Here is a 23,100-nt window from a genome sequence, read left to right as displayed (position 1 = left end):
TACTGGGTATATACCCAAAGGATTATAAATCATGCTGCTATAAAGACACACGCACATGTATGTTTATAGCAGCACTATTCACAATAGCAAAGACTTGGAACCAACCTAAATGTCCAACAACGATAGACTGGATTAAGAAAATGTGGCACATATACACCATGGAATACTATGCAGCCATAAAAAATGATGACTTCGTGTCCTTTGTAGGGACATGGATGAAACTGGAAACCATCATTCTCAGCAAACTATCGCAAGGACAAAAAAACCAAACACCGCATGTTCTCACTCATAGGTGGGAATTGAACAATGAGAACACATGGACACAGGAAGGGGAACATCACACACCGGGGACGGTTGTGGGGTTGGGGGAGGGGGGTGGGATAGCATTAGGAGATATACCTAATGCTAAATGACTAGTTAATGGGTGCAGCACACCAACATGGCACATGTATACATATGTAACAAACCTGCACGTTGTGCACATGTACCCTAAAACTTAAAGTATAATAATAATAAAACTTTAAAAAAAGAGAAGGAAATAAGAAATTTAGGAAAAAAATAAAATAAAATAAAATAAAATAAAATAAAAACAATTTTCATTTCTCACAAAATCCCAAGAGAGGTTGATGCTGCTGGTTCAGGAATCACACTTTAGGAAGTGTTGCTCTACTGATGACCTCTGCAATTTTAAGCCAACAGTGATTTCCTGTTTCATCAAGTTTTGCAATCTCTTGACTCATCAATTTAAAAGATTAAGATATTAAGAAAACTTATCTTATTCTACTTTTACCTTTATATAATCAAGTTTAATGACATTTGCATTTTATGCTATCACCATAGCTCTGATTTTGGCTTAATTATAAATATTGAAAACCAATAAATAGTGCTAATTTTATTATGGTTCATGATTATTGCTCACAGTTGAGCCAAGACAAGTGTCATGATTATACATCCTCCTCTACAGTTGCAAAGTTAAAGTCCAGGAATATTCAACTTCTACTTCAGATAGAATATTTCTAGGATCAACATTCTTCTTTATACTCTTCTACTTACTCAAAATCCTACCACATTTTAAGTTTTTGTATGCTGTGTTTCCATTTTCATTTGTCTTAAGAAATTCTTAAATTTCCCTTTGAATTATTTCATTAACCCAATGGTCATTCAGGACCATGTTATTTAATTTCCACGTATTTGTGAATTTTCTGAAGTTCCTCCTGTTAATTATTTCAAGTTTTATACCATTGTGGTCAGAAAAGATACTTGATATTTCAAGGCTAAATTTATTAAGATTTATTTTGTGGCCTACTATGTGATCCATCCTGGAGAGTGTTCCATGTGCAGTTGAGAAGAATGTGTATTCTGTCGCTGTTGGATGGACTGTTGTGTATATGTCTGTTAGACGTATTTATTCTAGAGTGTAGTTTAAGTCTGATGTTTCCTTATTGATTTTCTGTCTGGATGATCTGTCCATTGCAGAAAGTGGGGTACTGAAATTCCCTAATATTAATGTACTGCAATCTATCTCTCTCATAAGATCTATTAATATTTGCTTTATATATTTAGTTTCTCTGGTGTTGGGTGCATATATATTTACAATTGTTATGTCCTCTTGCTGAACTGATCCCTTTATCATTGTATAATGATCTTCGTCTGTTTTTACAGTTTTTGACTTAAAGTCTATTTTTGACTTAAAGTCTACTCCTGCTCTGTGTTGGTTTCCATTTGCATAGAATTTTTTTCATCCCTTTGCTTTCATTTTATGTGTGTCCTTACAGGTGAAGTGAGTCTCTTATAAGCAGCATATAGTTAGGTCTTGTTTTTTGTTTTTTTTTTTTTAAATCCATTTAACCACTCCATGTCTTTTGATTGGAGAGTTTAATCCATTTACATTTAAGATAATTATTGATAAGTAAGGACTTACTACTGCAATTTTGTTGTTTTCTAGTTGTTTTGTAGATCCTTTGTTCCTTTCTTCCTTTCTTGCTATCTTCCTTTGTGGTCAAGTGATTTTCTCTAGTGGTATGGTTTGGTTCTTTGCTTTTTTATTTTTATTTTTGTATTACTATAGGTTTTTGCCTTGTGGTTACCATGAGGCTTACAAAAAACATCTGATAGTTATAACTGGTTATTTTATCACATTTTAATTTGTTTTATATTTTAACCATGACATAGAGACGGTCTCCAACTTATAATGGTTCAACCTACGATTTTTTGACTTCACAATGGTGTGAAGGTAGTATGCATTCAGTAGAAACCATATTTCAAATTTTTTATTTCAAAAGCTTTTCCCAGGGTAGCAATATGTGGTACAATACTTCCTGTGATGCTGGGCAGTGGGAGTGAGCTGCAGGTCCCAGTCAGTTATAGGATTAGGAGGGTAAACAACTGATAGCTTTCTACAGAACACCATGCCTGCTAAGCCATCAACGAGTGTTAATACCGCAGTGGCTTCTACCAGCTATTCTTGAGACTCATCAGAAGAGAGAGAAATGGATGACCCTGTTACACTAGTAGCCCCATAATCCAGCAGTTAATTTTAGTTCAAATATTCTTTAGGTCCAGTGTGCTTTCAGCTGTGTGTGTTAATGGTGAGTACCCATACAACCATTTTGTTTTTCATTTTCAGTATAGTGTTCAATACATTACATGAGATATTCAACACTTTATTGTAAAATAAGCTTTGTGTTAGATGACTTTTGCCCAACTGTAGGCTAATGTAAGTGTTCTGAACACATTTAAGGTAGGCTAGGCAATGATATTCAGCAGGTTAGGTGTATTAAATACATTTTCAACTGACAATATTTTTAATTCATGATGGGTTTATTGGGACATAACCCCATCGTGAGTCAAGGAGAATCTGTACAGGTAATTATCTTATTTCTATTTTTCTGAGAGGTCTTGAATGCTTTTATTTTTTTCTTACCCATAAAAGAAACATATTCAATCTGCACTATATACTGAATATTTGCCACTTGCTCATCATTCTATTGCTTAGCTTCATTCTTCTGGAAGTTAATTGATCTCCTCTTCTCAATAGACTTGGCTGCTTTTTAGACTTGCTGCAGTTATCATCCTGGGATTTCTTGTCATTAGACTTTTGAGAGTTAGTTCCAGAGTTTCTTGTATCCCACATCTTGCTCCTTCTGGTTGTCATTTTTGTTTTGTTGAAGTACAAGATAATTTCCTTGGAAGAGTTACTAGGGAGGTAAACTTTCTGGGTTCTTGCTTATCTGAAAAGTGACTTTATTTTTACCACATACTTTGATTGTGTGGCTGAAAACAAAATTCTAATTTCAAAATCATTTTCCCTCAGAACATTGAAGCCTTTATTTCATCATAGTTTAGTTTCTAATCTTGCTTATAAAAAGTCTAATGGACTACTCAGTCTGACTCTCATTCTGTTGTAAGCTGACTTATCCTCCATGATCAACATTCCTGCATTCTTTGCCCTCGAAACATTTAGAATTTTCCCTTTGTCTTTGAAGCACTGACATTTCAAAATGATGTGTCTATGATAATTTTGGTTTATTGTGATTGTAAATTGTTGTTTACACCAATTTTAAAAAATAGTCTCCCTCTTTAACTCTGAAACATGCTATTCTATTATTACATAATTTTCTCCCCCTTCTTTCTCTTTTCTTATTACTGGTATTCTTACTTTCTAGTATTCTTATTACTTGGAGATATAGGACCCCGTAAATTTATTCTTTAGCTTTCTTTTCTACTTGTCTTTTAGCACTTCCATTGGGAAATTATTTACCATTGTCTTCTAATACTTCCACTGAGTTTTTGGTGCTGCAAATATATTTTTAATTTTTAAGAACACTTCCCTTGCCTTTCATTCCTCCCTTTAAAAAGGAACAGAATCCCATCCATTAGAAAATGAAAAGAATGGAATATATTCCTAAATCTCCTTGGGTCTACTGCATAGACATTAAGGTGTTGCATTTTTAAAATTTTTTAAAATAATCTCTTATATTCCCTAAATCATTTGTTTCCTTTTAAGTTAGTTATTCTCCTGGTTTATTTTAGCCTTTCCTTTCATGCACCAAATATTCCTCAATCTTGGGTTTCCTTGGTTGTCCATTCATATTTCAAACTAAGGTAAAAGGACTGAGTAGAAAATCTGTGAAAGTGTTTGGGTGGATTGTGGGAGAGAAAGCTAGCTCTTACGTTGGTGACTTCAAATGCCAGAAGTAAGGCTTTCTTTTCTCTGAGAACGAGGCCGCCCACACTATCTTAAACAGTTTATTTAACACTTTAGAGAAGGCGATGCCTGGCTGCTTGCTATTCTGCATGCCTGAAGCCTGTAGGGGTGGGGACAATGGTGAAAAGTCAACTCTAACCCTTCTTCATACCAACCTTCACATTTCACTGACCTCCCTCAATACCACCACCACTTGCAGTCCCACTTCTTACTCTGGCCCCCTCTGTAACTGTTGGCCTGGCTGTGGCTGCAGCTTCTCTGTTCCCTGGGTAGGCAGGAAGCCAGCTCTTCCATGTACAGTTCAAGTTCACCCACTAACACTCTTCCATTTACTTCACTCATACCAGAAAATTACTGGACTCTTATTATTAGCTGATGCCCTTTCTTTCACAGTGTTGTCCTCCCTGTTCCGATCTACTCATTTATAATCATTGCAATGGGGTACCAGAAGGCACAGACATCAACATTTGTGCTTGGTTGGCCATCTGGAACCAGAAGTGACCAAGAACATCATTTCAATACTAATCTGTCCCTCCATCTCTGGCTTTGATTGGGCTGCTTAAATCTAAAAATGTCAGTAAAGGTTCCAAGATGCTTTTCACTAAAGAAAGTCCACATCTGTGCCACTGACAGACTTGCAGGAATGAGAGATAGGTTCACTGTGGAAAGTATGTCCAGGCTAGCAAGATGCTGGACAGGGTAGATGACTACCTCACTGGGTCAATTCAGAAACAAATAAGCACAGAGGACCCTGAAATTCTTCCCAGGACCCCGAGTCTGGGTAACTTCCGTAACCCAAGTATGGGTAAGTTTATCAGTCCAGTAAGATTTGACCTTAGAAAGCAGAATAATTCTAGAACTAGAGACCAATTATGTAGAAGTTACCATAATACCATGCTTTACTGTGTCCCCAGGCCAACCTCTTCTCCCCACTTCCCTGTCAGGAGGGGACCTAGGTCTGTACTTCCCAGTCAAGGCAGAAGCCATCAGCTTCCTGCCCTGCCTCTTCACCTTATCTTCTACTCTTCTCTAGCCTTCTCCACACCTCAGAGTAAGGCCAGCCCATCTACTCTGCCCACCTGCTTAGACACCACGTGTCCTCCCTCACTCCCCCAGGGCCTGTTCCAAGTATCAATGGCCAGTGGGACTTACAGGCCACTCTCCTGGGGCACTTGTGTTGTGAAAGAAGGTTCGTGTTTTAAATCAAAACCTCTTGGCAGCATTCCCCAGAGGGTGTGTTTTGATGTGTAGTGGGCACTGTGAACTGTGGCCCATCTCCTGGCTGATGTGTGTGTAGGCTGCTTATGGCTCACATCTGCATTCTTCTCTAGAGAACCATCCTCAGCTGAGGGGATCTCCTTTCAAGGAGGGTTACACTTCCCTTCCCCCCCACAGCCAGTCAATGGCTGAATGATATGGGGCACAAAAGGGAAGCCCCTCTTGCCTCAAGGTGAGGACAACTCTTTGGTGTAATTTTTGTTCCAGAGTCCCTCAGCCAGACTTTATCTGAGACCACAACCATTTTGAGCCCCCATGCCTTTCCTTTACAGGTTTTCCCTAAGAGCACAGCATCATTAGACCATGTGTTCCCAATTCCCTTTCTCAGGCTCTGCTTCTAGGGAACCCCACTTAGGATGATGGGAAAGAGGCTTTGGGAGATAATGCGATGCCTTGGTAAAAATCTCAGCACTTACGTGAACACCTGGATGGATATCTCAAATCCCAAACCCTTCTCTGTGGTTCAGTCTACAACTCTAATCTACAAGGCATGGGTCACAATCTGCTAGTTTTCCCCTACACTTACAGTGGTCTGAAGCACTGTGAAAGGTGGTTCCACAGCTTTGCCCCAACCCTGCCTAGGAGGCTGGGTTAGCCCACAGTTTTTCCTGATCTTCCACAGGGTTCTGAATCTGTGGTGATCTTGGGTTTCAAGAAAAGATTTGAAACAGACTTGGGATTGCAGATTCCTTGCATATTCCTGCACCGCACTCAGTGCTGCACGCCTCAGAGCTGGCCAGCGCTGCTGCACAAAATCAGGCACAGGCTCACTCCTACTTCATACGAGTGATACACCCATCGCACTAAAGCTTCTCTACACAGCCGCACATCCCAGAATCTGATGAGTGTGGACCACCTGTACTTGCCCCAGTGCTCTGGTTTCCAGGGACTCTTGGGTTGAGCATTCTGTAACTCAACTGCCAATTCAGCAAGCTACCATTCTTGCTTCTTCACCTCACTCATTCTCCCACCAATAAAACATTCATTAAGCACCTACTATCCACCAATCTAAGCTCTGAAAACAGTCTAGGAACAGAGGCAAGTTCAGGGACCAAGTGGCCAGCCAGTTCACGAACTCGAGGGGATTGTAACTTCTAACAGCCTGAGAATTGTCTGAAAGTGTTTAAGTCCCACAGTAGTCACAAGTAACCCCTAAGACTGTTTATTTTATCATTTTGCAGATCAGAAAAGGGAGACCCAGAGAGGAGGTGTGTCCTGGCTGCGGTCTCCTGAGCAGCCAGGCCCACGGCTCTCTCAACTTTTGGGCCATTATTTCTGCTCTGTGCAGCTGCCACCTTGGGTGCTGAGTATGAGCTTTAAGGTTCTGACCTGATTCTTTTGGGCAATCTTTTGTCCCTTTTTCCAGCGGAGAACTGGTGTCAGAGGCGGCAGTTCCCTCTCCTCCTCTCCAGTCACATGCTCACTGAGGCTGTAGGCTGCTTCAAACACGATCGGGCTGATGACGTCCTGCACCCTCCGCTGAAACAATAAACAAATACGTGCATTAACTACTAATCCTGGCTGACAGTCGTAGAGCATTTCACAGTTTACAAAGACCTTCTACATGAATTGCCTCATATAATCCTCACAATCACCCTCGTGAGGTAGGGTTTTATGACTTTCATATTTTAAATGAGGTAATTGAGGCCTAGGGCAGCTAGTGTCTTGTCCAAGGTCATTCTGTTGATGGGTGGGGGCTCTCCTTCTCTACCTTGCATGGTGCTAAATCATCTTCTCTTGAGCATATGGAAGACATTACTTTACTCATCCTCCAAATATTCTTAGAAACCAGTTGGCAAATGGGAGAACATCTGTGCTCACTCTGCTAACCCTTTGCATTCAGTGTTTCGATGACCACATCTCTTTTGCATTGAGATAAATATGGATTTTGTGTTAGGGCAGGGAATCCAAAGACTGAGTGGCCCAGCGTTATCCCAGAATTAGACATCAGCGGAGGCAAGGATGAAATTCTGACTCCTGGCCCTGTGTTCTTTCCTTTGGAATCCAAGAATCTCAAGCCCCAAGGGAACAGTCGATTGACAGTCACGATGGGAAAGGAAGGGAGGAGAGCAAACATGCCCTGAACATATGAGATGCCAGGTACTGTGCTAGGTGCTGCAAGGAGATGAGAAACACACCCACGCCCTGTGAGTGAAGGCTTGTTATCCTCCATTATACAGAAAAGGAAAGGGGAAATGAAAGGCTCAGTTCCCCAGGGCACATGGCTGGTAAAGATTTTCAGTCACATCTGTTCAGCCCTGGAGCTCTTGGCTTTTCTGCACACAGCGTCACTGCCTCCTGGGGACTCTGGCCCCCACAATCTCACAAGTTAGAGTTAGACGCAGGAGTAAAGCTGGTAGGTGGTCCCACATTCTGAGACAGTGAGCTCGGCGGGGGTGCGTGTGGGCTGCTCCAAGGACTTCCAAGTGGAGCAGGGCAAGTCTGAGACGTGTCAAAGGAAAGTGGCTCAAACAGCCGAGTCCCTGGGGAGACAGGAGAGTGGCAGCAGGGAAGAATGAGAAGAGAAGCTGGGCGGGCAGGCTGAGGCCAACCTCAGGGCCACAAGTGCAGAGATGAGGACTTCATACTACTCTCTGTGTGAAGTTTGGGGGCGTTTGGAGCAGAGTAGCACTGTGTTCAAAGAAGTAGAGGTTCTAAAGGCCCCAGGAGGCACACGGGGAGGAATTTGCTCCCACCCCTCCCCGACACCCAGCCCCCTTCCCCAGAGGCAGATGTGCCTGCCAGTTTGGGGGTACTTAGGTATCCATCCAGTCCAAGCATCTGCAGCACATGGTGGCATCTCATGCTGCACTTTGCTTTAGTCACTTAGCATATATTCTGGAAATTGTCTATGTCAGGAACACCTTCTTTTTGATGACATACAGCATGTCACTATATGGATGCCCTTGCTGACCAATGTTTGGGCTCAAAGCTACCTGAACAAGCAAATGGGGAGCAGCCCATCCACAAACTGTAGCAGCATTCACCCAGATTGGTCCTATGAACCTCAGTTCCCTAGGACTGGGGTAAATAAGAGTCTGAAATTAAATAGACTGCATGGGACACCAAGTTAAACAAAGTTAAAGAGGATTTTATTCTGTTTTGTTTGTTGTTTCCGTTTTTACTGCCACTGCCTCCAAGTAAGCGGTGGTAGTCCTACGTGTACGGGGCCACAGAAGCTTGTGTTTCTTCAGAGTTCCTCGGGGCTGCGGGGGGAGAGGAGGTGAGTAGAATGCATGCAGAGACACTGGAGGGCAGACTGGAAATCTCCCGCAGCAGCCCCAGAGAGGAGACGGCCATGATGAAGTGGAGTGGCAAGGGCAAGAGAGGCAGATATGGCCATGCCTGTGGCTGCTGAGCTGTGAGGCATGGGAGACCAGGCAAAGGGGACAGATGACTCCCGGGGTGGGAGCCCGAGTGACTGGCAGATGATTTTTACTGGTGTTCAGGAAAACATTCGGCTGGGAATAGATTCAATCATTCAGCATAAATAAAACACAGGACTTCTCCAAGAGAGTGATAGGGGAGCCTTTGGACAAATTGTTTCCAGAAAACGCCTCTTGAACTCCAGATATCGGGGCAGACCTTTGATACTCATGTCCCTCTGGGAGCAAAGCACACAACCCCAGGATCCAGATCCTCCCTGCCCGCTGACTCTGCTAACCAGAATTTGAAGACTGCCCGCGGTGTGGAGAAGGATGAATGAATGCAATCTTTATGTGTTTAAAAATAAATTCTTCAGTGTTTCCCTAAGGCTGACTATCTTAAGGTTTTGCATTTAAATCCTTAATGATGAAATAAGTCAGTTATGATGTTGTTATTCTAGGGGAGGAGGTGAAGATGGGGGTAGGGAAACAGAAGTCATTTACTATTTCCTGGCTACCAAATGTGTTCCAGAGACTGGGCCAAGCTCTTCACAGACACTGTCTTTCTTAATCCTTACAATACCTGAGCTGGCAGATTATTGACCCCCACCTTCCACTTTTTTTTTGAGACAGAGTCTTGCTCTGTTTCCCAGAAGTGGGACAATCATAGCTCACTGCAGCCTTGAACTCTTAAGCTCAAGCAATCTTCCTGCCTCAGCCTCCTGAGTAGCTGGGACTACAGTTGGATACTACCATGCCTAGCTAACTTTCATTCTTTTATTTCTTTTATTTATTTTTTATTTTGTAGAGATGGGGTCTCACTATGTTGCCCAAGGTGGTCTTGAACTCCTGGCCTCAAGTGATTCTTCTGCCTCATCTTCCCAAAGTGCTGGGATTAAAAGTGTGAGCCACAGCACCAGCCATTGCCCCCCGTTTTATAGACAAGATCACAGAGGTGCAGAAGCTCAAATAAATGTCCCTCCATCCCAAAGCTAGCAAGTGAAACCAGAAGCAAAACTACTTTTCTTGCTGTCCATAAAATACTATTTTAAAACCACCCCAACTACATCAGGTTCTGACATCATCCTAAAAAATTACTTGTTTACATAACAGCATATAGGGTGAGGGGAAAAATGTTTCACACACAAGGATGAATGGGAATAAGTGACAAATAATTAAGAAATAGGGGCTTGAAGTAAGGGCTGTTTCTAAATGCAGCCATTCAAGCCATGGTGGCTGAGGAGGGAAACCTGAGTCGTGGCATATCTTATTTTGGATGAGTAATGCATTTGGACATGTAGGGGTGCGAATGCTGCTTCCTGGCAATGGCTGCCGGAACCTATTTTAATTAAGAAGTCTGAAAAGCAGCTTCTTATTACATGTCCCAGTAGCTCTGGGCAGAAGGGACCCAAACCACACTGAGGCATGGGTGGAGGCAGAGGAGGGTGCAGCAATTAGAAACAGGCCAACACCCCCAAAAGGACAGCCCCTTCTTCCCACACTGGGCCTGTTTTATCTGAGCTGCAAAGGAAAAGTAGCAGCACAATTTAGCGGTTTCCTTTTCATTTTTGGATATGCAGCTTCCCTGAGCTCAGCACTGCAATTAAGCAGAGAAACTCCTTAGGATGGAGAAAGAGGCTTAGGGCTCTGGCACAGACCATAGTCGCTGAAATTTTACTGCTTAAAAAAAATAACGCTACAAACTGAAAATTCTAAAATTGAAGCTTCTGCAGTTCTAAAGCATCTAATAAAGTGTCATTCTGACAGACTAAAAGGCAAGAATCTACCTTTTCCTGCTAAAAATCTATGGGAGTCTCCTGTCTCTGAAAACTGAAGGAGTCCCCACAGAGGAGAACACCCAGGCTGGTGGCAGAATTTGCAGCAGCTGAGGTTTTATAGGGAACTTAACATATGCTCCATCTGAAATTTATTGGGTGCTTACTTTATGCCAGGCAATGTGCTGGGCCACAGGGAAACAGAGATGAAAGACCTTCAGGGAATAATGAGTCTCAGGGGAAACAGACAAGAGATGACAACGCAGTGCAACACATACCAGGACAGGGGAGGCTTTGGGGACCCAAAGGTTCAGACTGAGGGCTGGCAGGCTTCCCAGAGGAAATGCCCCTGGGCACAGTCAAAAGACAGTAGGACATCAGGCAGAGAGCAGGGGCAAGGCAGGGGTGGTATAGCCACATGGAGAGGGCATGGGCTGTCCAGCGGACTGCATCTGACTCCCAAAGGTGGGAAGTCAAGTTGATAGGCAGCAATAGGGTAGAGAAGATTCATGCAGAACCAGATCTCAGGGCACTTTGCAGGTTATGTGATCTTAAAAGCTAGGGAGAGCTGGGAAGGGGGTAGCATGATCCTAGAGGCTGTTATAGAAAAGTCCCTCTTGGCTGGGCATGGTGGCTCACGTCTGTAATCCCAGCACCTTAAGAGGCTGAGGAAGGCGGATGACCTGAGGTCAGAAGTTTGAGACCAGCCTGGCCAACGTGGTGAAACCCCATCTCTACTAAAAATACAAAAATTAGCCGGGCGTGGTGGAGCACGCCTATAATCCCAGCTACTCAGGAGGCTGAGGCAGGAGAATTGCTTGAACCCAGGAGGCGGAGGTGCAGTGAGCTGCAATCACACTACTGCACTCCAGCCTGGGTGACAGAGCAAGACTCTGTCTCAAAAATAAATAAATAAAATAAATAAAAATCCCTCTGACAGGGGCAGGGAGGCCAACATGGAGGCAGCAGGAGGCTGTGTTCTAGAAAGGTCCCTGTAGCTGCCGTGTGGCAGTGGACTGATGGGTGCAGGACTGGGGAGAAACAGGCTAAGGAGGAGGCTGCCACATGGGTTTAGTGGAAAGAGAGTAAGGGCTTGCACCAGGACCCAGCAGCAGAGATGGAGAAGAGGGGACCTCATCTGCCCAGCCAAAGGAAGACACGCATTTCAATTCGGGAGAAATATCTGAGTGACTTGATTCCCACCCTCACTCTATGACCCGAAGAAAGCTGGACCTGGGAACCCTGGCACCCCTAACTGGCCACCTGACCTAGAAGCCTACCTAATTGCTGCTTGTCTCCATTAAAAAAAAAAAAAAAAAAAAAAAGGGTTTTTTTTCTTCCTTAGCTAACCAGCAGCTGCCGGGGTAAATTAAAGGAAAACAGGAAGGGTTGGCCCCACTTTAAATTTGTAAATAAAGCAGAAGGTCAGCAAATAAGCAGTTAGCATTAAGCCAGATAATTAGTTTAGGGAAAATCTTCTAAGTGTTTTTAAAAGAGGATTCACCAAACATGTGATCTTTTTATCCCCTCCATCCTCCATCCTTTCTTACTATTTCTCTGCATCCAACCCTACTTTCACCTATGATAATCTTGTAGACACTCCTAGAAACGAGAAATCTTCAGAAGTGGGATGCCTTTTCCTTTATCTCTATACTCATAATAAATAAGATCACAGTTAAAATGTTATAAGCTACTTTAAAATTTTCATCAGCTTGAAGACTCTTTTAAAAGAAAACAGGATTTTGCATTTCCAGTAATGATAGAGTAACTTACTGAAACCGTCCTCCCACGGACAACTCGAAAAGCTGGACACACACACACACACACACACACAGACACACACACACACACATACACACACACACCCCTGTTTAAAATTATCATGGAACTTATGTTTGAAATGCCAGGTTCATTTAAAAAAATTAAAAATATATAAAGTTATCAGGGAACTAACTATCAAGACAGCCAGGACTTCAGAGTATAGGGTCCCAAAGAGAAGGAAAGAATGTGGAGGTAACCCCAACATTTATGGGCACTTTTCCCTTGAGGTGTTTCCAGATTTGTAAGCAGTGTGGGATGAGAGGCTATGAAACTGAAAGTGAAGCAGTGGCTAAAAAGCTAAGTTCTTGAGTTTCTAAGCTGAATTTCTGGAAGTCTTATGACTCTGTGAAGACAAAACTTAAGAGCTCAGGGCTAATAACGCAATGAGGACTTGAGGGGCGAAAATCCCAAACAGAAATAAGTATATTGAGGTATGTTTACTGTACGCCACAATTGTCCTCAAGGCATCTGCCAATTCTACAGCAGCACGGGGCTGTGAGACTAAGAAACCAGGCAGAGGACAGTGGTTAAGGTGCTGACATATTTTACTGGAGATTGAACACAGCAGAAAAGACGACCAGTGACCCAGAAGTTGTTTGCTTTTTAATTTATAGGATTGTGAATGAAATCACACTGGGCCTCAGTGTATTCTCTCAATAGGAAATATCCAGATCAAAGCATGGAGAGGAAAAAGGAAGGAAAATTCAGAAATAAACATAACAGACATACAGGACACAGTGCAAGGTATAACATATTTGTAATCAGATAATAAATAATATTTATAATTATAAAATATACCTTGTATAATGACTGACATACTGTAGGCAAGCAATAAATGGTGATCATTACCATTTTTAATGCATTTTTTTTTTGACAGAGTTTCACTCTGTGCAGTGCAGTGGCGCAATCTCAGCTCATTGCAATCTCTGCCTCCCAGGTTCAAGTGATTCTCCTGCCCCAGCCTCCAGAGTAGCTGGGAATTCAGGCACACACCACCACGCCCAGCTAATTTTTTGTATTTTTAGTAGAGACGGGGTTTTCACCATGTTGGCCAGGCTGATCTCAAACTCCTAATCTCAGGTGATCTACCCGCCTTGGCCTCCCAAAATGCTGGGATTGCAGATATAAGCCACTGCGCCCGGCCTTTAATACAATTTTTTAAATGGCAACTATGATATTAAAATCTATAAAAAGCTCCCTATTATGAAATAAATCCTTATTATAAACTGTACCTGTAGCAAGAACCTATTTCCCAGAGAATAAACTGAGGCCAAGTATAGTTTCATTTACAATCCTATAAATTAAAAAGTAAACAAGGCTGGGCACGGTGGCTCACACCTCTAATCCCAGCACTTTGGGAGGCCGAGGCAGGTGGATCATGAGGTCAGAAGATCGAGACCATCCTGGCTAACACGGTGAAACCCTGTCTCTACTAAAAAATACAAAAAAATTAGCCAGGCCTGGTGGCGGGCGCCTGTAGTCCCAGCTGCTTGGGAGGCTGAGGCAGGAGAATGGTGTGAACCTGGGAGGTGGAGCTTGCAGTGAGCCGGGGAAAAAAAAAAAAAAAGTAAACAAACAAAAATTTAAATTAAAGCCAAAGAAGAAAATTCTAAAATAATTTTAAACAAAACTTTATGACAAGCACAGCTGACTACAACAGTCTTCTAAGACAGAACTTCAACCAGAAAGGAAGAGACAATGCTTGAACTGTTTGAACTAGTTCAGTTATAAATATTGACTTGACAGAGCTCCAAAAACCAGGTGAATTCAAAGAACTCCAGAAATTCTGTCATGAGAGCAGGAAATAAGTGGTAAGAAAATCAGTGTACCTTGTTTCTGAAAATTTCTCAATCAGATTAGAGATTTTAATATGACTATATATTAGTTTATAAGCAATTGCACATATAGTAATGGATATCATCATTAGTCTGAAATGTATAACCCTTTGGCAAGCATCAGTGCTCAGGAGGGTCAAAAAAGCACCAATTACTCTTCAATTAACATATTTGCAAAAATTGTTCATCTATGAAAATCACATAACCCCACTGATGCTTTTTTCTCTTCAAAGGTAAAACAATATGTAGCTGGATATTTGGGAATGGTTTGATTTTGCATTGAAAAGTCTGTGTGTGTGTCGGGGGCTGGGGTGTTAACTGTGGCTGTAGGAACTGGATCTCAGCTCTGTCTTGAGCTCCCTGGGTCTCCTGGACAATACTGAACATGCTCTTGTCCAAAAGCATGGAATATAGCAGCAGTGGCCAGGTACCGGCATCCAGGCAGGGCCAGGGATGGCAGGTCTGTGGGTATGGGGGAACAACGAAAGAGTGCATGGACATTTTGTTAATTCTCTGGAGGAACCTCAATTGGTGTATTAGTCTGTTCTCATGCTGCTGATAAAGACATACCCAAAACTGGGTAATTTATAAAGTAAAAGAGGTTTAATGGACTCACAGTTCCATATGGCTGGGGAGGCCTCACAACCATGGTGGAAGGCAAAAGGCACATCTTACATGGCAGCAGACAAGAGAGAATGAGAGCCAAGTGAAAGGAGTTTCCCCTTATAAAAGCATCAGACCTCATGAGACTTATTCACTACCATAAGAACAGTATGGGGAAAATCACCCCCATGATTCAATTATCTCCCACCAGGTCCCTCCCACAGCATGTGGGAATTATAAGAGCTAAAATTCAAGATGAGATTTGGGTGGGGACACAGCCAAACCATATAATTTGCCTTCTGCCAACACTTGGTTGCTGTGTGCCTTATGCCTGGCATCATGAGGCATAGGGAAGCTGAGAAGAGAAAAATAGGAGGAGTGTGAGCAAAAAACTGTGGTGCAGAGAAGGTGCCCTTACAAGAATGGTGGCAATCCAATGAGGGAAGAATAGCTTCTGACCCAGAGTGGGTAGAAGTGCAAGTGTCAAGAATCCTTGTAGAGGGGTGACCCTGGGAGTTCCTCAGGCTGATGGGGCACCTTCTCAGTTGGTGAAGATACTATGGAGGTCTAATAAACACTAGACATCTGAGGAAGAGAGGTGACAGGACCAGGCAAAGCGACAACTTTGATGTCAGCCAGTTCAAGGTCAGAGGGGGTCCAAGCTCCATTTCTTGCAAACTGCAACCTTGGCCACTTTACTTACTCTCTCTGAGCTTGTTTTCTCAGATGTAAAATGGGATGACAGAATCAACCTTGCATGCTTGTTGTGAAGATTAGAGAAATGGATGTCAAGCACCTTGGAGAGCTCCTGACACTCTAAAAAAGCCAGTTGCCCCTACAACACCATCACCACCGCCACCTGAGAAAGGTCTGTGGGGCAAGATCACGGGGGAGGGGCAGGGAGGGACTATGGACAGGGAAGGAGAGCAGGCTGGAACCAGGTCACGGGACCTCAGTGCCCTAGCCGCTACATGCATTGCTTATGCCCACAACTTTCTCAGGAGAACTGCCCTTGGGTGACAGGAGCCATCTCCTCCAGCGAAGCCTGCAAGTGACGCCCTGTGACAGGCAGAATCCTAAAATGATGCCAGTGACCCATGCCCCTGTATAATCTTCTCCCTTTGAGGGTAGGAAGGACTGGACATATGATGGTTCTCACTCCTGTGATGTTACATTAAATGGCAAAGGTGAGGGGAGTTTGCAGATGTAATTAAAGTTCTGAATCAGCTCAATTGAGTGAATCAGAAAGGATGGCGTGAATTGGCCTACTCAAGTGACCCCTTTCACAGGGAGGAATAGCTTCTGACCCAGAGTGGGTTGGAGTGCAAGTGTCAAGAATCCTTGGAGAGCAGTGAGCTAAGAGACTGGAAGGCTGAGCTAAGAGACTGGAAGGCTGAGCTAAGAGACTAGAAGCAGCAAAAAGAGTCTTCTGCTAGTCTTGAAGAAGCAAGTCACCCTGGGCTCCACAGCTGCAGGAGTGAATTCCAGCAACGGCCATGAGAGCCTGGAGCAAGACCCCAAGCCGCATAAAAGATCTGGCTGGCACCTTGAGTACGGCCTTGTGAAACGCTAAGCAGGCCATGCTCAGACTCCTAACTGACAAAAACTGTGAGATAGTAACTTTATGCTGTTTTAAGCTGCTAAATTTGTAATTTTTGAAGTGGCCTAGAAAACTAATACCTGCCCCATTCCCTAGCTGGCAGATGCAGCAGGATAACACCCCATCCCCCTTGCTGCTGGGTGGGATAAGCTCTGCTCCAGAGCTTCTGCACGGGATCAGGCTGAGGCTAGACTTTTCCTGAGACCACATCCTTACTCAACATTTTTTTCTCTGTCCCTTTCTGTTTTCCTCACTTCTGAGAGCACTCCCCCAATAAATCTCTGGCAAAAATCCCCATCTCAGATTCTGCTTCTGAAATCCAAGATACCATGTAATAAATTCCATACTTAATTTGTGGGCTTAAAATTCCTAAAGAGGTGAGAAGAGCTGGATACAGTGCTAGGGTCACCCTAGCACTCCAGGATGATGTGGACCAGGCAGATCCATATCAGTAGTGGAGAGGCATGGGGAGTTACATGCAGAGTCTCATTTTGACACTTCCTTGCCATTAAGTTCAACTTGGAGTTTTACTTTGTCCTTTTAAAATTTATTCTTAAAAATAACAGCGAAGACGGCCAAATAGGAACAGCTCCAGTCTACTGCTCCCAGCATGAGTGACACAGAAGACGGGCGATTTCTGCATTTCCAACTGAGGTACTGGGTTCACCTCACTGGGGAGTGTCAGACAGTGGGTGCAGGACAGTGGGTGCAGCACACCAAGCGTGAGCCGAAGCAGGGCGAGGCATCACCTCACCTGGGAAGCACAAGGGGTCAGGGCATTCCCTTTCCTAGTCAAAGAAAGGGGTGACAGATGGCACCTGGAAAATCGGGTCACTCCTACCCTAATACTGCGCTTTTCCAACAGTCTTAGCAAACAGCACACGAGGAGATTATATCCCGTGCCTAGCTCGGAGAGTCCTACGCCCACGGAGCCTTGCTCATTGCTAGCACAGCAGTCTGAGATCAAACTGCAAGGCAGCAGCAAGGCTGGGGGAGGGGCGCCCACCATCGCCAAGGCTTGACTAGGTTAACAAAGTGGCTGAGAAGCTCGAACTGAGTGGAGCCTACCGGAGCTCAAGGAGGTCTGCCTGCCTCTGTAGACTCCACCTCTGGGGGTAGGGGATAGCCAAACAAAAGGCAGCAGAAACCTCTGCAGACTTAAATGTCCCTGTCTGACAGCTTTGAAGAGAGTAGTGGTTCTCCCAGCAGGCAGCTTGAGATCTGAGAATGGACAGACTGCCTCCTCAAGTGGGTCCCTGGCCCCCGAGTAGCCTAACTGGGAGGCATCCCCGAGTAGGGGCAGACTGACACCTCACACGGCCAGGTACTCCTCTGAGACAAAACTTCCAGAGGAATGATCAGGCAGCTACATTTGCTGTTCACCAATATCCACTGTTCTGCAGCCTCCGCTGCTGATACCCAGGCAAACAGGGTCTGGAGTGGACCTCTGGCAAACTCCAACAGACCTGCAGCTGAGGGTCCTGACTGTTAGAAGGAAACCTAACAAACAGAAAGCACATCCACACCAAAACCCCATCTGTACATCACCATCATCAAAGACCAAAGGTACATAAAACCACAAAGATGGGGAAAAAACAGAGCAGAAAAACTGGAAACTCTAAAAATGAGAGTGCCTCTCCTCCTCCAAAGGAACGCAGCTCCTCACCAGCAACGGAACAAAGCTGGATGGAGAATGACTTTGATGAGTTCAGAGAAGAAGGCTTCAGACGATCAAACTACTCTGAGCTAAAGGAGGAAGTTTGAACCCATGGCAAAGAAGTTAAAAACCTTGAAAAAAATTAGATGAATGGCTAACTAGAATAACCAATGCAGAGAAGTCCTTAAAAGACCTGATGGAGCTGAAAACCATGGCACGAGAACTACGTGACGAATGCCCAAGCCTCAGTAGCCAATTCGATCAACTAGAAGAAAGGATATCAGTGAAGGAAGATCAAATGAATGAAATGAAGCAAGAAGAGAAGTTTAGAGAAAAAAGAATAAAAAGAAACGAACAAAGCCTCCAAGAAATATGGGACTATGTGAAAAGACCAAATCTACGTCTGATTGGTGTACCTGAAAGTGACGGGGAAAATGGAACCAAGTTGGAAAACACTCTGCAGGATATTATCCAGGAGAACTTCCCCAGTCTAGCAAGGCAGGCCAACATTCAAATTCAGGAAATACAGAGAATGCCACAAAGATACTCCTCGAGAAGAGCAACTCTAAGACACATAATTGTCAGATTCACCAAAGCTGAAATGAAGGAAAAAATGTTAAGGGCAGCCAGAGAGAAAGGTCGGGTTACCCACAAAGGGAAGCCCATCAGACTAACAGTGGATCTCTCAGCAGAAACCCTACAAGCCAGATGGGAGTGGGGGCCAATATTCAACATTCTTAAAGAAAAGAATTTGCAACCCAGAATTTCATATCCAGCCAAACTAAGCTTCATAAGTGAAGGAGAAATAAAATCCTTTACAGACAAGCAAATGCTGAGAGATTTTGTCACCACCAGGCCTGCCCTAAAAGAGCTCCTGAAGGAAGCACTAAACATGGAAAGGAACAACCATTACCAGCCACTGCAAAAACATGCCAAATTGTAAAGACCATCAAGGCTAGGAAGAAACTGCATCAACTAATGAGCAAAATAACCAGCTAACATCATAATGACAGGATCAAATTCACACATAACAATATTAACCTTAAATGTAAATGGGCTAAATGCTCCAATTAAAAGACAGACTGGCAAATTGGATAAAGAGTCAAGACCCATCAGTGTGCTGTATTCAGCAGACCCATCTCACGTGCAGAGACACACATAGGCTCAAAATAAAGGGATGGAGGAAGATCTACCAAGCAAACGGAAAACAAAAAATGGCAGGGGTTGCAATCCTAGTCTCTGATAAAACAGACTTTAAACCAACAAAGATCAGAAGAGACAAAGAAGGCCATTACATAATGGTAAAGGGATCAATTCAACAAGAAGAGCTAACTATCCTAAATATATATGCACCCAATACAGGAGCACCCAGATTCATAAAGCAAGCCCTTAGTGACCTACAAAGAGACTCAGACTCCCACACAATATAATGGGAGACTTTAACACCCCACTGTCAACATTAGACAGATCAACGAGACAGAAAGTTAACAAAGATATCCAGGAATTGAACTCAGCTCTGCACCAAGTGGACCTAATAGACATCTACAGAACTCTCCACCCCAAATCAACAGAATATACATTCTTTTCAGCACCACACCACACCTGTTCCAAAACTGACCACATAGTTGGAAGTAAAGCTCTCCTCAGCAAATGTAAAAGAACAGAAATTATAACAAGCTGTCTCTCAGACCACAGTGCAATCAAACTAGAACTCAGGATTAAGAAATTCACTCAAAACCGCTCAACTACATGGAAACTGAACAACCTGCTCCTGAATGACTACTGGGTACATAACAAAATGAAGGCAGAAATAAAGATGTTCTTTGAAACCAATGAGAACAAAGACACAACATACCAGAATCTCTGGGACACATTCAAAGCAGTGTGTAGAGGGAAATTTACAGCACTAAATGCCCACAAGAGAAAGCAGGAAAGATCTAAAATTGACAACCTAACATCACAATTAAAAGAACTAGAGAAGCAAGAGCAAACACATTCAAAAGCTAGCAGAAGGCAAGAAATAACCAAGATCAGAGCAGAACTGAAGGAAACAGAGACACAAAAAACCCTTCAAAAAAATCAATGAATCCAGGAGCTGTTTTTTTGAAAAGATCAACAAAATTGATAGACCGCTAGCAAGACTAATGAAGAAAAGAGAGAAGAATCAAATAGACACAATAAAAAATGATAAAGGGGATATCACCACCGATCCCACAGAAATACAAACTACCATCAGAGAATACTATAAACACCTCTACGCAAATAAACTAGAAAATCTAGAAGAAATGGATACATTCCTCGACACATACACCCTCCCAAGACTAAACCAGGAAGAAGTTGAATCTCTGAATAGACCAATAACAGGCTCTGAAATTGAGGCAACAATTAATAGCTTACCAACCAAACAACATCCAGGACCAGATGGATTCACAGCCGAATTCTACCAGAGGTACAAGGAGGAGCTGGGACTATTCCTTCTGAAACTATTCCAATCAACAGAAAAAGAGGGAATCCTCCCCAATTCATTTTATGAGGCCAGCATCATCCTGATACCAAAGCCTGGCAGAGACACAACCAAAAAAGAGAATTTTAGACCAGTATCCCTGATGAACATCGATGTAAAAATCCTCAATAAAATACTGGCAAACCGAATCCAGCAGCACATCAAAAGCCTTATCCACCACGATCAAGTGGGCTTCATCCCTGGGATGCAAGGCTGGTTCAACATACGCAAATCAATAAACATAATCCAGCATATAAACAGAACCAGCGACAAAAACCACATGATTATCTCAATAGATGCAGAAAAGGCCTTTGACAAAATTCAACAATGCTTCATGCTAAAAACTCTCAATGGATTAGGTATTGATGGGACCTATCTCAAAATAACAAGAGCTATCTATGACAAACGCACAGCCAATATCATACTGAATGGGCAAAAACTGGAAGCATTCCCTTTGAAAACTGGCACAACACAGGGATGCCCTCTCCCACCACTCCTATTCAACATAGTGTTGGAAGTTCTGGCCAGGGCAATCAGGCAGGAGAAGGAAATAAAGGGTATTCAATTAGGAAAAGAGGAAGTCAAATTGTCCCTGTTTGCAGATGACATGATTGTATATCTAGAAAACTCCATCATCTCAGCCCAAAATCTCCTTAAGCTGATAAGCAACTTCAGCAAAGTCTCAGGATGCAAAATCAATGTGCAAAAATCACAAGCATTCTTATACACCAATAACAGACAAACAGAGAGCCAAATCATGAGTGAACTCCCATTCACAATTGCTTCAAAGAGAATAAAATACCTAGGAATCCAACTTACAAGGGATGTGAAGGACCTCCTCAAGGAGAACTACAAACCACTGCTCAATGAAATAAAAGAGGATACAAACAAATGGAAGAACATTCCATGCTCATGGGTAGGAAGAATCAATATCGTGAAAATGGCCATACTGCCCAAGGTAATTTATAGATTCAATGCCATCCCCATCAAGCTACCAATGACTTTCTTCACAGAATTGGAAAAAACTACTTTCAAGTTCATATGGAACCAAAAAAGAGCCCGCATCGCCAAGTCAATCCTAAGCCAAAAGAACAAAACCGGAGGCATCACGCTACCTGACTTCAAACTATACTACAAGGCTACAGTAACCAAAACAGCATGGTACTGGTACCAAAACAGAGATATAGATCAATGGAACAGAACAGAGCCCTCAGAAATAATGCCGCATATCTACAACTATCTGATCTTTGACAAACCTGACGAAAACAAGCAATGGGGAAAGGATTCCCTATTTAATAAATGGTGCTGGGAAAACTGGCTAGCCATATGTAGAAAGCTGAAACTGGATCCCTTCCTTACACCTTATACAAAAATTAATTCAAGATGGATTAAAGACTTAAATGTTAGACCTAAAACCATAAAAACCCTAGAAGAAAACCTAGGCAACACCATTCAGGACATAGGCATGGGCAAGGACTTCATGTCTAAAACACCAAAAGCAATGGCAACAACAGCCAAAATTGACAAATGGGATCTAATTGAACTAAAGAGCTTCTGCACAGCAAAAGAAACTACCATCAGAGTGAACAGGCAACCTACAGAATGGGAGAAAATTTTTGCAATCTACTCATCTGACAAAGGGCTAATATCCAGAATCTACAATGAACTCAAACAAATTTACAAGAAGAAAACAAACAACCCCATCAACAAGTGGGCAAAGGATATCAACAGACACTTCTCAAAAGAAGACATTTATGCAGCCAAAAGACACATGAAACAATGCTCATCATCAGTGGCCATCAGAGAAATGCAAATCAAAACCACAATGAGATACCATCTCACACCAGTTAGAATGGTGATCATTAAAAAGTCAGGAAACAACAGGTGCTGGAGAGGATGTGGAGAGATAAGAACACTTTTACACTGTTGGTGGGATTGTAAACTAGTTCAACCATTGTGGAAGTCAGTGTGGTGATTCCTCACAGATCTAGAACTAGAAATACCATTTGACCCAGCCATCCCATTACTGGGTATATACCCAAAGGATTATAAATCATGTTGCTATAAAGACACATGCACACGTATGTTTATTGTGGCACTATTCACAATAGCAAAGACTTGGAACCAACCCAAATGTCCAACAATGATAGACTGGATTAAGAAAATGTGACACATATACACCATGGAATACTATGCAGCCATAAAAAATGATGACTTCATGTCCTTTGTAGGGACATGGATGAAGCTGAAAACCATCATTCTCAGCAAACTATCGCAAGGACAAAAAACCAAACACCGCATGTTCTCACTCATATGTGGGAATTGAACAATGAGAACACATGGACACAGGAAGGGGAACATCACATACTGGGGACTGTTGTGGGGTGGGGGGCTGGGGGAGGGATAGCATTAGGAGATATACTTAATGATAAATGACGAGTTAATGGGTGCAGCAC

The 23,100-nt window shown here is 42.9% G+C and overlaps 1 protein-coding gene across 1 annotated transcript in view, besides 1 other annotated feature; it reads right to left on the bottom strand.

The window, feature by feature from the left end:
- The window catches only part of ITGA9 (integrin subunit alpha 9), a 371,367-nt gene that overhangs the window by 187,357 nt on the left and 160,910 nt on the right, over nt 1-23,100 (bottom strand). The window contains exon 16 of the mRNA NM_002207.3: nt 6,815-6,964. Coding sequence (NP_002198.2) covers nt 6,815-6,964 — 150 coding nt within the window. The remainder of the gene's footprint in view (nt 1-6,814; nt 6,965-23,100) is intronic.
- Nucleotides 15,606-15,806: a silencer, noted in NCBI's record as "peak4612 fragment used in MPRA reporter construct". NCBI's record gives its function as "represses an SCP1 promoter by STARR-seq MPRAs in K562 erythroleukemia cells {active_cell/tissue: K562}" and the evidence as "EXISTENCE:reporter gene assay evidence [ECO:0000049][PMID:32103011]".

Source organism: Homo sapiens, chromosome 3 (genome assembly GCF_000001405.40).
Source record: "Homo sapiens chromosome 3, GRCh38.p14 Primary Assembly".
NCBI lineage: Eukaryota > Metazoa > Chordata > Mammalia > Primates > Hominidae > Homo > Homo sapiens.
The sequence above is the reverse complement of the archived record's forward strand: the minus strand, read 5'-3'. Positions and strand labels throughout refer to the sequence as shown.